Source organism: Homo sapiens, chromosome 3 (genome assembly GCF_000001405.40).
Source record: "Homo sapiens chromosome 3, GRCh38.p14 Primary Assembly".
Lineage (NCBI taxonomy): Eukaryota > Metazoa > Chordata > Mammalia > Primates > Hominidae > Homo > Homo sapiens.
In genome coordinates, this window is record NC_000003.12 from 177443402 (window position 1) to 177459122 (window position 15721).

At 40.9% G+C, this 15721-nt stretch overlaps 1 long non-coding RNA gene across 1 annotated transcript in view, besides 2 other annotated features; it reads left to right on the forward strand.

Moving 5' to 3' along the window:
- The window catches only part of LINC00578 (long intergenic non-protein coding RNA 578), a 310784-nt gene that overhangs the window by 1481 nt on the left and 293582 nt on the right, over positions 1 to 15721 (forward strand). The window lies entirely within an intron of this gene.
- Positions 9066 to 9266: a silencer, noted in NCBI's record as "peak4934 fragment used in MPRA reporter construct". NCBI's record gives its function as "represses an SCP1 promoter by STARR-seq MPRAs in K562 erythroleukemia cells {active_cell/tissue: K562}" and the evidence as "EXISTENCE:reporter gene assay evidence [ECO:0000049][PMID:32103011]".
- Positions 13498 to 14697: an enhancer, noted in NCBI's record as "MED14-independent group 3 enhancer chr3:177174687-177175886 (GRCh37/hg19 assembly coordinates)". NCBI's record gives its function as "activates an origin of replication core promoter dependent on BRD2, BRD4, P300/CBP and CDK7 cofactors, and independent of MED14, by STARR-seq in HCT116 cells {active_cell/tissue: HCT116}" and the evidence as "EXISTENCE:reporter gene assay evidence [ECO:0000049][PMID:35650434]".

The window sequence follows — 15721 nt, forward strand, 5'->3', positions numbered from 1 at the left end:
AATTAAGTTGGTTTTAGAGTCACCTAATTGTGTGTCTGTGGGGTGGGCTTGCTGTGTTTAACACTTAACCTCTGCTTCAGTCCATCTCCTAATTCCTGTCTTCTTCCAATTGTAGGGGCAGGGACCAAATGGGACTTATCCACCTTATCTGTCACTGAACTGGGGCGTTATGATGACTAATGCAGAAGGAACACAAAGTAAGCTAGGAAGGCTGGCATGAAAACAGAGAAATGTAATAAGTGCCTGAGAGCAGAAACAAACCTGGTAGGCAGTAATGCAGCCTCAGGCAGGGCTGGCAAGAATGTTTTGAGTATCCTTTAGAGATCTTCAATGCTGTCAGTTTTCTACGTGTCACTGAGCTCCAATTCCCTTATCCGGGGCACAGTAGAACCTCCTCTGAGAGAAACTAATGTTGCTGACTGAAGGTCATGGCCAAAATCATGGTGTGCACACACCCCCAGGGTCACATTCTTTCTGATTCAGTGATAATTATACTAAAATAATAATAGAAATAACTGCCATCATTTCTTTCTTTCTTTTTCTTTCTTTCTTTCCTTCCTTCCTTCCTTCCTTCCTTCCTTCCTTCCTTCCTTTCTTTCCTTCTTTCGTTCTTTCTTTCTTTTTTTGAGACGGAGTCTCACTCTGTCACCCAAGCTGGAGTGCAGTGGCACAATCTCGGCTCACTGCAAGCTCCGCCTCCTGGGTTCACGCCATTCTCCTGCCTCAGCCTCCCGAGTAGCTGGGACTACAGGCACCCACCACCACACCCTGCTAATTTTTTTTTGTATTTTTAGTAGAGATGGGGTTTCACCGTGTTAGCCAGGATGGTCTCGATCTCCTGACCTCATGATCCGCCTGCCTTGGCCTCCCAAAGTGCTGGGATTACAGGTTTAACATCATTTCTTAGTGATTATTATGTACCAACATGTTATGTACATTATCTTATTTAATTTTTGTATGAATCTTATGAAGTAGGCAATATTTCACTCATATTACAAATGAAGAAATGGAGACTTGTGGCAGGGCCCGGTGGCTCACACCTGTAATCCCAGCACTTTGGGAGGCCGAGGCAGGCGGATCACCTGAGGTCAGGAGTTTGAGACCAGCCTGACTAACATGGTGAAGCCCCATCTCTACCAAAAATACAAAAATTAGCCAGGCGTGGTGGCACACACCTGTAGTCCCAGCTACTCAGGAGGCTGAAACAGGAGAATCACTTGAACCTGGGAGGCGGAGGTTGCAGTGAGTTGAGATCGTGCCATTGCACTCTAGCCTGGGAGACACAGCAAGACTCTGTCTCAAAAAAAAAAGAAAAAAAAATGGAGACTTGGAAAGATTAGATAAGTGATTTGCTGAATGTCACACAACTAGTAAGTGGCAGAGGTAGGATTTGAACTTCAGTCTGCCTCCTTTGTTGTGTCTATTCAACCGCAATACATACATTGTATTGTGTATGTATGAAAGTGTTCAGATGACCTTTAGATTTGAGGAAACACTTTCATTAGGAAGTTGTACCTCCCCTCATTGCAGAATTGCCAGTGTTTTCTGGAGATCTGCTGCCAAAATGGGTTCTTATATCCTGCTGTTCCAGAGACATGTATAGAAACCAGACTAAACACAATAACCTTTCTTTCAAAGAATGTTTTCTGAAGATAGTAGACAAAGTTTAAAAATTCTCCCAATTGAAAACACTGGTATTTCTTTCTTTCTTTTTTTTATTTAGATGGAGTCTCGCTCTGTCGCCAGGCTGGAGTGCAGTGGCGTGATCTCGGCTCACTGCAACCTCTGCCTCCCGGGTTCAAGTGATTCTCCTGCCTCAGCCTCCTGAGTAGCTGGGATTACCGGCACCTGCCACCACACCCAGCTAATTTTTGTATTTTTGGTAGAGACGGGGTTTCACCATGTTGGCCAGGATGGTCTCCATCTCCTGACCTCGTGACCCGCCTACCTCAGCCTCCCAAAGTGATGGGATTATGGGCGTGAACCACTGTGCCTGGCTACACTGGTATTTCTATGTGTGTGCTACCAGCAAAGACTAGACACAAGCTAATGTTTATAGGGGGCAAAAATCCATGTGTTATATGTATGCTTGCACTTCTATTTTCAGAAGATTCTATGGGAGAAAGTTCTTTAGTAAATCAGATCAAAATGTAAACAAAACCTAGTTTGCATGTTGGAAAATGTAAAATGGGAAATTAAAACATAATTGTGAAAGGCAGACAGACTTTTATTTACTTAGTACCATATTATAATCACAGTGATTTAGGCCACAGGCTTTACTTGAATAAAACAAAACCTTGGGATTATAAGTATAAATGTGAGTCCAATGCTTTAATTTGCTAATTATGCTTCCTGGTGATAGAGGGAGGCTTATCATCTGTGTGGGTGGGGTTTTATTATGTTATTTTATTGACATGAGAAGAAGAGGCTATAAAAATGGTGCAATATTCCCACTTAGTACACAGATTTTTTTAAGCCTGAAGTTAGTAATTATGAATAAAATTAAAATCCATTGCATATTAGTTGTAGAAAATAATATATAAACTTAATTACATCTTCTAGGTAGCAATTATTTATTCTATACTAGTCATCACTAGAGAAACAAAATACATAACAAAGAGGTATTTATGAAAAGGATAGAAGGAGAATTATAGGGCTGTAGAGCTGGGGTATAGTATCTTAAAGATGACATTGTTGTTGTTTTTTGGATAGGAAAATAGAGTCTGAGAGTGCTTAGGTAGCTTGTATAGGTCACACAATGAGCAGTGGCACAGCCCAGGGTAGAGAAGCCACGACTCCTTATTGCCCAGGCTGGCGAGTTCCTCAGTGAGTTGTTATTCAGTGCAGCAATTAGCTTGGGCAGACTCTGGACTGTAAAGCAGGAAGGGGCCTTGATAATAGCAATCGAGAGACCAAAAAGCCAACTCACAAGTCTTTCCTGAAGGAATAACAAAACATTTTTTTTCCTCAGTGTTTCGGTTTCCATGTCCTATGGCACTACATTAATATAATGTATTTAGGGAACTGAGAGGGTTTTCTTATGCAACATATCACAATAATGTCCGTCAGTCTCATGAATGAACTGTGAAAGGATCGCTGACCTCAGGACAGCTTGGCAGTAAGCACCATTAAGCAGCCAGACTTTATTCACACCAGCCTGGAGTAAAAATAAGGTTCTCTCCAAGTTAATGACCTTTTTGTGAATAAACGGAATCTCTGACAGTGATCCTCAGCACATCGTTTTCAAGACACGTGAACCACTTGTTTTTGAAATAGAGCGACATGCTGAAAGCCTCAGGGATAAATAGCACTTAAAACATAAAAACACGGCAATTCCTATTGAGCCATCCATCCCCATTGGCGTACCAGAGCCGGAACCATATGTGTGAATGGCCTACAACACGGGCATGGGGTTATGATGGATGAAATACTGAATGCGAGTGCCTCTGAAAAAAAAATCAAAGATGAGAATCCCAAGTCAATCATTGTCCTTCTAAGGAACCCGAACTTTAAAACCCCTACTACCGTTTTTTCTCTTTTCCATAAACACTGTATAATATTAGCTACCCTTTATTGAATAGCCTTCACTGTGGGCTGGATGATGTACCATGTGCACTACCCTAAATGGGTTTTGCAAAGACTCTCTGAAGAGTCCTTATTACCCCCATTTTACAGGTGAGGTTTGGAGAAGTTAAAACATTTGCTACTACATCATACAGCTCACGTATAAACCTAGGTTTGTTGGACAACAAAATCATCCTCTTTGTGACCAAATAATAGCAATAGCATTATTGCTATTATTATTATCTTCTAGGAATAATCCATTTAAAAATCAGACAAACAAGTGTTTTCCCTGACATTAGATCACCAGCTAAGTCAGTAGTGGAGGAACTGACGGACTTGGGAAACCTAATATCAATTCCAGACCTAATACACAGTTTAAAAATATTGAGAATCAGGCAGCAACCTTTATTCGGTCATTTGGATAAAAGTACTGTTATTTTATAATAAAATGTTTCTGTGCTTTTTTTATATCAGAAATATGCTTAATTATTTGGTCATTTCTGACTACCAGATGACATAGTGGCTCCTCAGCTGGTTAAGACTGATTTTCTCAAGTTTATAGCACTAGGGCTTAATTAATTTGCACATTCTGTACAGAATTTGGAGAAGAAAATTCTTAAAAGTTAATGGGCTAGTTTTATATTTAGTCAATATATCTTTAGTACAACTCTGGGCAACAACATTTCATGTTGTATAGCTTAGTGCAATAATAATAGTAAAAGAGAAGTTGTTGATGGCTATAACTAAGGTTTACATTCTGGCTTAAAGCTTTTGCTTTCTGTTTCTTTATATTAAGTCTGTTGTTAATGGATGGGAAGGATTTTGCAGGCCTGGATGAGGTTGGATGTTCAAGTAAGGACACCGGCAAAGCAGGTGACTAGAATCTGATTGAGAAGTTTGGTATTGGAGTCAGTCCTGAGTTCAGATTCTGAGTTTGCCACTTTTTAAAGCTATTTAACCTTTAACAATGTAACCCATCTGTGCTACAGTTTCCACATCTGTAAAATGGGAATCATAATACCTACATGATAAGATTGTGGCAAAAATTGAATGTCTCAGCTTGGCCCAAAGCAAGAGGGCAGTGAACGGTAGCCACTATCAGGAGGTGCTCATGTAAAAGACTTGGAATCTGGCTCCTCAAAGTGAGGACCTGCCCTGACCTGCTCCAGCTCCCGGAAAGGCAGAAAAGCCTGGCAAAGAGCCCACTGTTGTTCTTAGGCAGGCCTCCTCCCCTGCTTTGCACTGAGCTCATCACTCGGGCTGTACTCACCTGGGTCACAAGGAAATATGTAGATGGTAAGTCCCAGAGTCAAGTACAGGTATTTTCCATTTTCATAGCAACTTGTATTCTATTGGGTACACAGTGGTTGTGTGGTAAATATGTATTGATTTTATGTATAATGTGCAGGGCAGAGCTTCTTTCCCCTGGCTATGAGTTGAGAATGGTAATAGGTAGATGAGTCTGCATAATAAAAAATATGGGGCACGTGGAGAGGAAAAAAAGGAATGAGTCTTCCTAAGAGTGAGTATGAGAAATAAGATTTTCCTACAAACCCAACACTGTTATAAAAAGAACAAAAGTCAACCCAGTAAACATCTTATTACCTTAATGAACACTAATTTGATACTTGTGGAAATGCGCTTCAGATTGAGCTGTAGTGTACCGTGAGCCTCTTCAAGAGAACTATTCAAGAGAACTGTGCCGTTTTTGAGGCATTTTTATAGTAAAGCTGGGTTAATTGTGCATCATTTTTATTCATTTCTTTCTACTTGGCAACACCCAACTAAGATAATTTGAGTTAGTGGATGCAGGATATTGAGAACTTCTGAAGCTAGTTTTCTTTAAACTACTAAAAAAATTTATATTCACATAGTTTGGGGTCCTTCTGTCAAAAATGGACAGAGCCTAAAGCGTATTACTTTAACACACTACGTGTACAAGCAAAGCTACAAACACCTATGGAGTAAAGCTGGTCAACTGGGCTGAGGCCAGTCCATTTTTCAAGCTTTTATAAAGATTACTTCAGGTGACAATTTTTACTGAAAACTTGTTTTGTTTTGGTTAACAGTAGTGATAGATTTGTAGATAAACTGAAATTCAAATGCTTATTCATGCTTCAATAAAACCCCTTGATAGGTTACGAGTTTCTTCTTGAGAATAGATTTCCTTACTGTGAACTACTGAGTATTTCCTGTTTTAGGTCAGATTGTAACTACCGCGAAATGATCTATTAGAAAAATTTGGGTCCTTCTAGTGCCAGAGGAAAGAAATGCACAATTAAATACACTCAGATACAAAAAGCAACTGAAAGACAAAGGAGAAGAGAATAGAGAAGAGCCTTATGGTCCTGACATTTTATTTTTGAAGTGTAAGAAAATGACATTTGAGATTTTAATGTGGTTTTGTCTGAGCTCAATCTAAGATTTTACTTATTTCTACGTAACACGTCATCATTAGTTTCAGCTGACCTCATTGCCACATGCATAGCTGAGGGCTTGTGGAAAGAAATCACAGGGATTTCCAGAAAAGGTGACCTCACCACAGAAGCACAGGAGCAAGGAGACCGAGGAAGGCTTCAGGGCTGAGAAGTGAAGTTAATGGGATGAATTCCTGTAGAAAGCTGCAATGTGCTGTAAACAGGGCCAGACTTGCAGTGGCACCCAAGCAATGAACAAAGGCAAATGGGTTGGGAGACTGTGGTTGAGCCCTTTCCTCAGGCAAATCTCCTTTCTCAAGGCCTCAGTTTCCTTTTGACTCAATGTGGCAGTTGGACATAGCTGGATGTCTAAGTTTTCTTTCTCAATGCTGTGGTTCTGGGTGACCAGGTCAAGAGCAGACTCTATTTCTGTTACGCAAGATCAGAGCTCAGGGCCCTGCACCGTCACCTGCTGTGGCTATGAACCCTGTGTCTGCAAAGAAAAGAGATGGGTGGGGAAATTGCATAACTATGAGCAAAATTGCAGGTCAGGTCTCACCCCTGTTCAGGAAATGGAAGGGTTTCCTTTTATCTTCTTGCATAATGGTATTAGCTAAAGATGAATTTATTATAAATAATAAAACAGTCAACATCTATTGAGTGGTTATGATGGGCCAAGTGTGACACTAAGGATTTTTCATGCACTGTCTCATTTACTTCTCACAATAACCCTTTGAAGGAAGTGCTAGCATCATTCTCATTTTTATATACAGATAAAATTGGAGGCCCAGAGACAGAGAATAACCAGCCTCAGTTTCCTAGACCAATAATGGCAGAACTTGTATTCAGACCCAGTTTGACTGCAGAGCCTGGGCTATTTATTGATTTATTTTGAAGTAAGGGTTGCACTCTGTCACTGAGGTTGGAGTGCAGTGGCACCATCATGGCTCAGTGCAGCCCTGACCTCCTGGGCTCAAATGATCGTCCAGTCTCAACCTCCCATGTAGCTGGGGCCACAGACATGTGCCACCAAGCCAGGCTAATTTTTGTATTTTTTGTAGAGATGGGGTTTCGCTATGTTGCTTGGTCTCAAACTCCTGGTTTCAAGCGATCCTCCTGCCTTGGCCTCCCAAAGTGCCGAGATTACAGGTGTGAGCCACTGCGCCTGGCCTGTACCATCTTTTAAAGTCTCATGGCCCAACAGGATGCAAGTTAAATACATATTGATACAATCACCTGGTGCAATTTTATTTTTGGAAAAACAACGGATGCTTACAGGCAAATAGAAATGTTCACTGGGGTCAGGCATGGTGGCTCACGCCTGTAATGCCAGCACTTTGGGAGGCCGAGGCAGATGGATCACCCGAGGTCAGGAGTTTGAGACCAGCCTGGCCAACACGGTGAAACCCCATCTCTACCAAAAATACAAAAATTAGCCAGGAATGGTGGTGCGTGCCTGTAATCCCAGCTTCTCGGGAGGCTGAGGCAGGAGAATTGCTTGAACCTGGGAGGCGGAGGTTGCAGTGAGCCAAGATCACACCATTGCATTCCAGCCTGGGTGACAGAGCAAAACTCCATCTCAAAAAACAAAACAAAACAAAAACAAAACAAAACAAAACAAGAAATATTCATCGGATGGCAGGATTATGGGTGGTAACTCTTTTTTCTCTTCCTTGGTGTTCCGTTAATGCTGTCTGTGTAATGAGAAACAAAATAATAATTTTAAAAACCCAAGGAAATAGATTTCTTCTTTGATGTACTCCTTGTAAGAATTTGGCTTCCAGTAAGCCACGTTCTTCTGAGGAAGGGCAGAGAACTTTGAGTTACGTGTAGCAGACGCTTATTTTGCCGAGGCTTTATGTCAGAGATGGGCTAATTCATGTTTCTCAACAGCCCCGGTGTGCCAGGCTTTGTATGTATAAGAAAAGGGGATGCAGTGTTTGGATTACTCTGCCTCGGTTACTCCTTGTGTAAGCAGTATGGATATTTCTGACTGTCCTTTTGATTCTAGTTGAAGCTGCTTGCCACAGGCATCTCTTAGTAGATTGCTTTGTGATTTATGCAGGTCTAAAGGAGACCAAGGATCATTTATCTTCAAACCAGGAGAGATGAAAGCGGCTCGGTAGTAAAATTTCCTGTGGAGTTAGATGAGAGCATCAAAGGGAAAAAAATGTCATTGTTTCATGAAAACTAGGAAACGTGAGTCAGTTTCTAATGTCGCAGATAGATATTTTCCTGTGAAGAGTTCATGTTTTTGAAAAATCTCCACTAAAGGATAAAAACAACTGAAGCAGTGAATGGGTGTGATTGAAACGCTACCGCCACAAAACATGGCCTTTTCCCGGAGGTTAAGATGAAAATAAAGGATAAAGTGGTGAAAATCTTAAGCTGCCTTAAGCCATTTGTAATTATTTTTCCCATGATTAAATCTAATTTTCTGCTGTTACTTAAATATTTGAACATTATTCTTCTTATTCTTTCTTCGAGGAAAAGAATTCCTCAAAATGGATGCTTCTCCAGCCTGGATATCTTTTGTTTGTTCACATTCCTCATACTCCCCGGCTTTGTATTCATTGACAGCCTCTGTAAAAATGATTCTTCCCCAACTGTTTGATGCTCTGCGCTAATTTGTACCATGGTTACTGTGTTTGGTATGTTGTAAGAGCCCTATTCTTTTTAAATGTGTTCCACAGATTTAGAGATATTTAAAACACTGTGATGCCCGGAGGAAAAAAAAATGTTGTAATCAAGCCATTTGTCACTGTGCATAGGAATATAAGATTTCCACCAGACAGAAAAGATATTATGGGTTTCTCTCTGGCTACTGTACATGCCATAAGTAAAACAATGATGCATGAAGTTGAACTGACTGCCAAAAATAGATCAGGAAGAAAAATTTCTCCCATGACAACTGGCTGTGATCCTAGGGATTTTCCCTTTCACTCTGAAATCTTGAATAGGACTTTATCTTTTCTCTCACTTTCCTTTTCTTTCTTTCCTTTCCTCTCCCTCCTTCACTCCCTCCTTCCTTTCCTCCCTCCCTTTCTTTCCCCTCCCTCCCTCCCTCCCTCCCTTCCTTCCTTCCTTCCTTCCTTCCTTCCTTCCTTCCTCTTTTTTCTCTCTATAAACATACTGTGATTTTGCCTTGAAATTCTCAGCGCAGTAGTAGCAAACAGAAGTGTGGCACTGATCAAGTTAGTTTGAATGCAGAGCCACTGCAGTGGCTTTCTAGTGGAAACATGTTCTCCTCACTCCTAGTTCTCAGACCTTCATTCCTGACTCAGAAGAGCCTGGTAAGCCTGGGGTGATGTCATTTTCAGTCCTGAGGTAATGCTATTATTCAAGACATATTATTAAGCAATTGGATAGAGAAAGGAGTTCCTTTGAATGAATATACTTTATGCAGAAATATGATTCCTCCACAATCAGAGGCCCACACCTAAACCCAGACATTAAGAACAACAAAAGAACATCACCACCATCACCCCCAAAAACTCAGACAAAAAATTTAAAATTCCTCAGAGCATCAATACTGTGCCACTTGAACTGTGTAGTCCACACAACTATCACTTATAAATATCTGGAGAGTCTAAAAGTTGAAACCATCTGGCATTGTGCAACCGACAGTGGACATGTTGGAGTCTGGGGGTAGTATAGTGTATGGGTGCCGGCAAGCAAGAGAACTGGTATAGAATCTGAATTTTAACACTTAGCATATGTTAACTTTGGGCAGGTTACTCAGCTTTTTCCAGTTTCAAGCTCCTCATCTGTAAAACCCTTCATCCCTTTTCTGAAGCCATAAGGGAGTTATAATTAGCACGCCTCCATTGGCTCTGTTTTCCTGCTATTAATCTTTCTTAACATTTATACCTTGTCTTCTCGTTAAGATGGCGGGAGCCTGTGGCTTTGTGCACTCAAAGTCTCTATCATGGTTCTTTTTTCCGAGATTCACAGCATGAAAGCAGTAGATGAGAGAGAATGGTTTTCAGGAGTTTTCAATTGGGTTTGAAACCTGTCAAACTGGTTAAAAATTGCATGTTATTTGTACAGCACCCACTTATTTTATCAGTTGATTAATGAGGTGCTAGAGTAATGTGTTGCTTGTCTCCAATGTCTTAGAATTTGGTATGTAGTACATTTGATGTATAACTGATATGTTATAGTTTTATTTATTTATTTATTTTCTTTTTTTGTGCGCAATAGATTTCTTGAATTTATTTTTCCTATTTAACCAAAATTTTCTCTCTCCCTTCCTTCCTTCCTTCCTTCCTTCCTTCCTTCCTTCCTTCCTTCCTTCCTCTCTTCCTCTCTCTCTCTCTTTCTCTTTCTCTCTCTCTTTCTTTCTTTCCTTCTTTCTTTTATTATTATGATACTTTAAGTTCTAGGGTACATGTGCACAGCGTGTATTTATTTATTTATTTTGAGACAGAGTCTTGCTCTGTTGCCCAGGCTGGAGTGTAGTAGTGTGATCTTGGCTCACTGCAACCTCTGCCTCCTGGGTTCAAGCGATTATCCTGTCTCAGCCTCCAGCCTCCTGGGTTCAAGTGATTCTCCTGCCTCAGCCTCCTGAGTAGCTGACATACAGGTGTGCGTCACCACGCCTGGCTAATTTTTGTATTTTTAGTAGAGATGAGTTTTCACCATGTTGGCTAGGCTGGTCTTGAACTCCTGGGCTCAAGTGATACACCCGCCTTGGTCTCCCAAAGTGCTGGGATTGCCTGGCCGATATGTTATAGTTTGTTTTTTTTTTTTTTGAGATGGAGTCTCACTCTGTCACCCAGGCTGGAGTGCAGTGGCACGATCTTGGCTTACTGCAACCTCCGCCTCCTGGGTTCAAGCAATTCTCCTGCCTCAGCCTCCAGAGTAGCTGGGACTATTGGCGTGCACCACCACGCCTGGCTAATTTTTGTATTTTTAGTAGAGACGGGGTTTCACCATATTGGCCAGGATGTTCTTGATCTCTTGACCTCGTGATTTGCCCGCCTTGGCCTCCCAAAGTGCTGGGATTACAGGCATGAGCCACTGCAGCTGGCAGTTACAGTTTTAAAAGGTTAAAAATTATATGTAGAAAGAGAAGCCATAATCCAGTGTTTCTGGAGGACAAAGTGTATCTTTTTTGAAATACCGATTGAGATCTACAAATCCAGATCAACCCCACTTACAGATGAGGAAACTGAGATTCAAAGAATGATTTGAAAAAAGACATTTGGTTGATCAACTGTGGGGGACATGTACACATGCTGCCCAGATAGCCTTTCAAGGAAGGACTTTGAGTTCAGCTGCGGGGAGCGGAGGCAGCCCCACTGCCAGCTGTCAGCATCTTCAGGCTCTGTCCCAGCAGGAGAGTTGCTGTGACTGAGGTATCGCCCTTCCTAAGGGAGCCAGCATCTGTGGACCAGATGAGCCATGGGTGAAAAGGCCTGGCCACGGGGCCCACTGTGGGACAGTTTGATGGAATAGAGTTTTGAGTTTGATGGGTAATACTTGTTCCAGTGCTCCCTAAATTCTACCGGATATTTTGTCCGGCTTGCACTGCAGCCATCTTCCTTCCTCTTTCTTCCCTTCATGGGTGTTGATTCTTAATGAACTTCCTGACCCTCAGCTCTGTCTCAGTGCCTGCCTCCAGGGAAACCCACCTATGTCATTAATTGATTGAAATTACACAGTATATTGGCATTTCAGGAAATTGAGATAATTATCTTTAAATTTAATTATCTTTAAATTAACACATTTTATAAATATGAATAAAAAGTCTTCATATCATCAAATATAAAGGGTTGAAAAAGGAATATTTCTTGCCATAAATATAAAATAATCATAAAATAGGCCAGGTGTGGTGGCTCACACCTATAATCCCAGTACTTTGGGAGGCTGAGGTGGGCGGATCAATTGAGGTCAGGAGTTTGAGACCAGCCTGACCAATGTGGTGAAGCACCATCTGGACTAAAAAAAAAAAACAAAAATTAGCCAGGTGTGGTGGCGTGTGCCTGTAATCCCAGCCACTCAGGAGGCTGAGGCAGGAGAATCACTTGAACCCAGGAGGCTGGAGGCTGAGGCAGGAGAATCGCTTGAACCCAGGAGGCAGAGGTTGCAGTGAGCCAAGATCACAACACTGCACTCAAGCCTGGGTGACAGAGTGAGACTCTGTCTCAAAAAAAAAAAAAAAAAATCATTAAATAAATTCAAATAATATTAAAAAAACTTAACATTCTAGCTGAATTTTTTTCTGCCTAATGTTCTAGACTTCTTTTTCTCTGCATAAAAAAGATCAGCAAGTGTTGGAGAAGTTAAGATATACTACCAACAACCAATTCTCTCATCTTGATGTAATCAGAGAATAGGAAGAGAATTAAAAGGGAATAACTATCTCACTATGTAATCCAGTGTTATTTAATACTAAATGAGAATTTCTCTAATTCATATCTGTGAACCAGAGTACGGGGGCCATAATGTGGCAGACACCAACTTAAGTAAGTGATCAATTGTGGATCCACCATCATTTATCAGATATAATTTCAGTCTATTTTTGTAAAACTCAAAATGGAAATATTTCTGATGTCTGTTTCTCAGCCCCAATTTTTCCACCAATCCTCCATTCTAATGTAAAACTGGCCTACATTTTCTCTTTGTTCTGTTTCTATGTTTAGAAAAGATTAGAAGATTCCTACAGATAAGCCTCCTCCCAGTTCAGGTGAATTTACCTCTTTCATTTAAGCAGAAATAAAAAATTCAGTTCTTTCTTTCCTTGATTCATTCACTGAAGAATATATCTTTTGATGTCTACAAAGCTGGCTTAGTACAGGATAAGTGCGGAGAGACAGGGATAGAATCTGAGAGGGTGTATTTGTGAATGCTACTGTCTGGCTATAACAACCCCAGGCATGCTTGGGGAAAAAGTTAGGGAATTAGAAATTTTGGACAAGAAAGGAAACTAAAGTGTAAAGATAAAAAGAAGAAAGTAAAAGAATTAGTAAAGGAATGAAGGAAGATTTTCTTTCATTGTATAGGCCCTATATATAGAATATCATTTTTTTTCCTGGATTCCAGTTTATTGGAAAATAGATGTATCACAGGTATGATAGCCTCTTATATACATGTTTGAAAGAGTGATTTGAAAAAACTAATTAGTATGTAAATGTTCATTGTAGTGAAGGAAATGAGTCTTCAAGTTCTCAGATCATACAAAGGAATCTCATAGATTTGGGTGCTCAAAGCTCTGTTCTGGATATGTCTCCAAAAGTTCTTTACTTTTAGCTATGTACTATTTTTTTTGGAGAAAAATTGCCACTGAGAACTTAACCGTGGAATCCCCAGATAGGATTAGGCCTTGTTTTGGCACTACCTATGAGGTATGCTACTTGTTTCTGGCACCTGGATCTTCTTTGAAATTGTCAATTGGGTCCAACTGGTTCAGAAACTTCTTCCAAGTAAGGGGGGTTGAAAGGGATCCTTAAATTTGTGATTTTACAAAACTTCACCTGCTAGCCAAGAGGGAACAACATGAATTGAATTTACCCTCTTGCTTGAAACAACTGAAAAGATGGATCCAATATATGAAAACAAAATAAAACAAGACAAAACAGTTTTCAAGACTTTAGACTTCAGTGTTCCCTGAGAGACGGGCAACAAATGAGATGACTGAGTTTTGTGATTATCCCAACTTACTCCCTGGAGAGAGTTTCCGGGCCATGAGAGGGAGAGGGAACCTAGGGAGAGCCTGGCAATTATCTTGAGTTGAGGAGGCCAAGGCAATGTAGGATACAGTAAATTCCTCTTCAAAGTTTAGCCTGTTAACTTCCCTTAAAATTCGAGAGGGAGAAAATTGTTAAGTACAATGAGTTCTGAGTCCCTCTCCAAAGAACCAATGTGGCAGTATGTTCAGCTTCCCTGTACTTCATTTTCCATTTTAAAGTTTGACTTCCTCATTCTTTACATCTCCTTGCCCCTAGTTTCAGTAAACAACTCCCTTTTAGCCTCTATCACCTGCTCTGTCCTCAGTCATCCTTAGTCACCTGCTCTGTCCTCAGTCATCCTTAGTCACCTGCTCTGTAACCATCCCTCCCACCAAAACTACTCACCCTGCCACTCTGGCTTGTACCCTCACTCTCTTTAAAATAGCCAGTCAGAATTAGCTTAGACTGCGTGGTCCAATACTAGCCAATAGGGGAAAGACACAGCAGTAGGGACTAGCTGCATTAGGAATAAGGCCTTCCTTCCCCTCCCTTGTCTGGTGTGCTCTTGCCATTGCTCCATCCATGAGACGTACCTTTCTATAGAAGCAAATTGCCTTGCTGAGAAAACTTTTGCCCGAGTGCTATTTTCATTTGGCAGCACAGAGCATTTACTTCCAAGAGCAGCTAGAATTTGCAGGTAGGTTGCTGTAAAGGAGAGAGTTGTACAGAGAGAGGACTCTGGAGACCTGCCAAGGGTCCTCCTTGAGTCTTCAGCTGAATACCAATCAGTGCATGCTTGTGAGAAAAATATCTTCAGGCAGGAGAAAGAACTAGCTGAAAGAAGCAGAAGAAATCATCTTCAAAGTTCTCACAGGGCTGATATTATTCCTGTTCCTGCTGGCCAGACTAGAAAACATCATAATTCATGGGGCTTTTGATAGAGTATTTGGAGGGATTTGCCTCAGTGGTGGTGTAAAATTAGTGCAGATTAAATGCATTAGAAATTGAAATATGTGGGTGCTATGGTTTGGATATAGTTTGTTTGTCCCCAATGAAACTCATGTTGAAATTTGATCCCCATGTGGTGGTGCTGGGAAGTGGCGCCCAGTGGGAAGTGTTTGGGTTATGGGGGTGGATTCCTTGGGAGTGGCTTGGTTCCATTCTCATGGTTGTAAGTGAGCTCTGGTTCTGACAAGACTGACTGGATTAGTTCTCATGGAAATGGATTAGTTTCCCATGAGAGTGTGTTGTTATAAAGCCAGGACACCCCTCTGGTTTTGTCTCTTTCCACATGTTGGCATCTCTTTTGACCTTCTCTGCCATGTTATTATGCAGCATAAAAGACCTTGCCAGAAGCCAGGGCCATGCCCTTCAACTCCTCAGCCTATAGAACTATGAGCTAAATAAACCTCTTTTATTTATAAACTACTCAATCTCAGGTATTCTGTTATAGCCACGCAAAACTAAGACTGTGAGTAAATGTAAAGACTTGTTTTTTTCTTATTTTGGTGTCTTTAACAGATGATCGAAATGGTTACAGCGAAATTAATAATCATGTATTGTGGGATTTATAATGTGTATTTGGTCAAATGCATGACAAAATAGGACAAAGGTTGGGAAGGAAGAAATGGAGGTAGATGTACCAGTGTCAGGTCCTTCTACTTTATGTGAAGTGAGTAGTATCACTTGAAGTCAGAATTAATTCACTGGTACAGTATGAAAGTTCAAAAAGTGTACAAGTAACAGAGAAGCTGTCACAGGCATCAAATGATATCTGAGCTGGTCCGAATGTGTAAAGTGGATTTTAAAATGTCACTACGAAGGAAGAAGGGCGTTCAGGGTGAGGGAATAACGTGAAAGAAAATTAGTGAAAGAAGGAGAATAAAGAGCCTATGTTGTTTATTGTGAACACTCCTGCTTAGTTGGAATATGGGAATGTTCCAATGCATAGTGGGCAGTAAGGCTAACAAAGTCAGTAGCAACCAAACCATGGAAGGCCTTCTCTAAGTTTGTACTTTCTTTTGTAAGTAAGCAGTGGATGTGGACAGCTTGCGAGTGGTGGGAAGG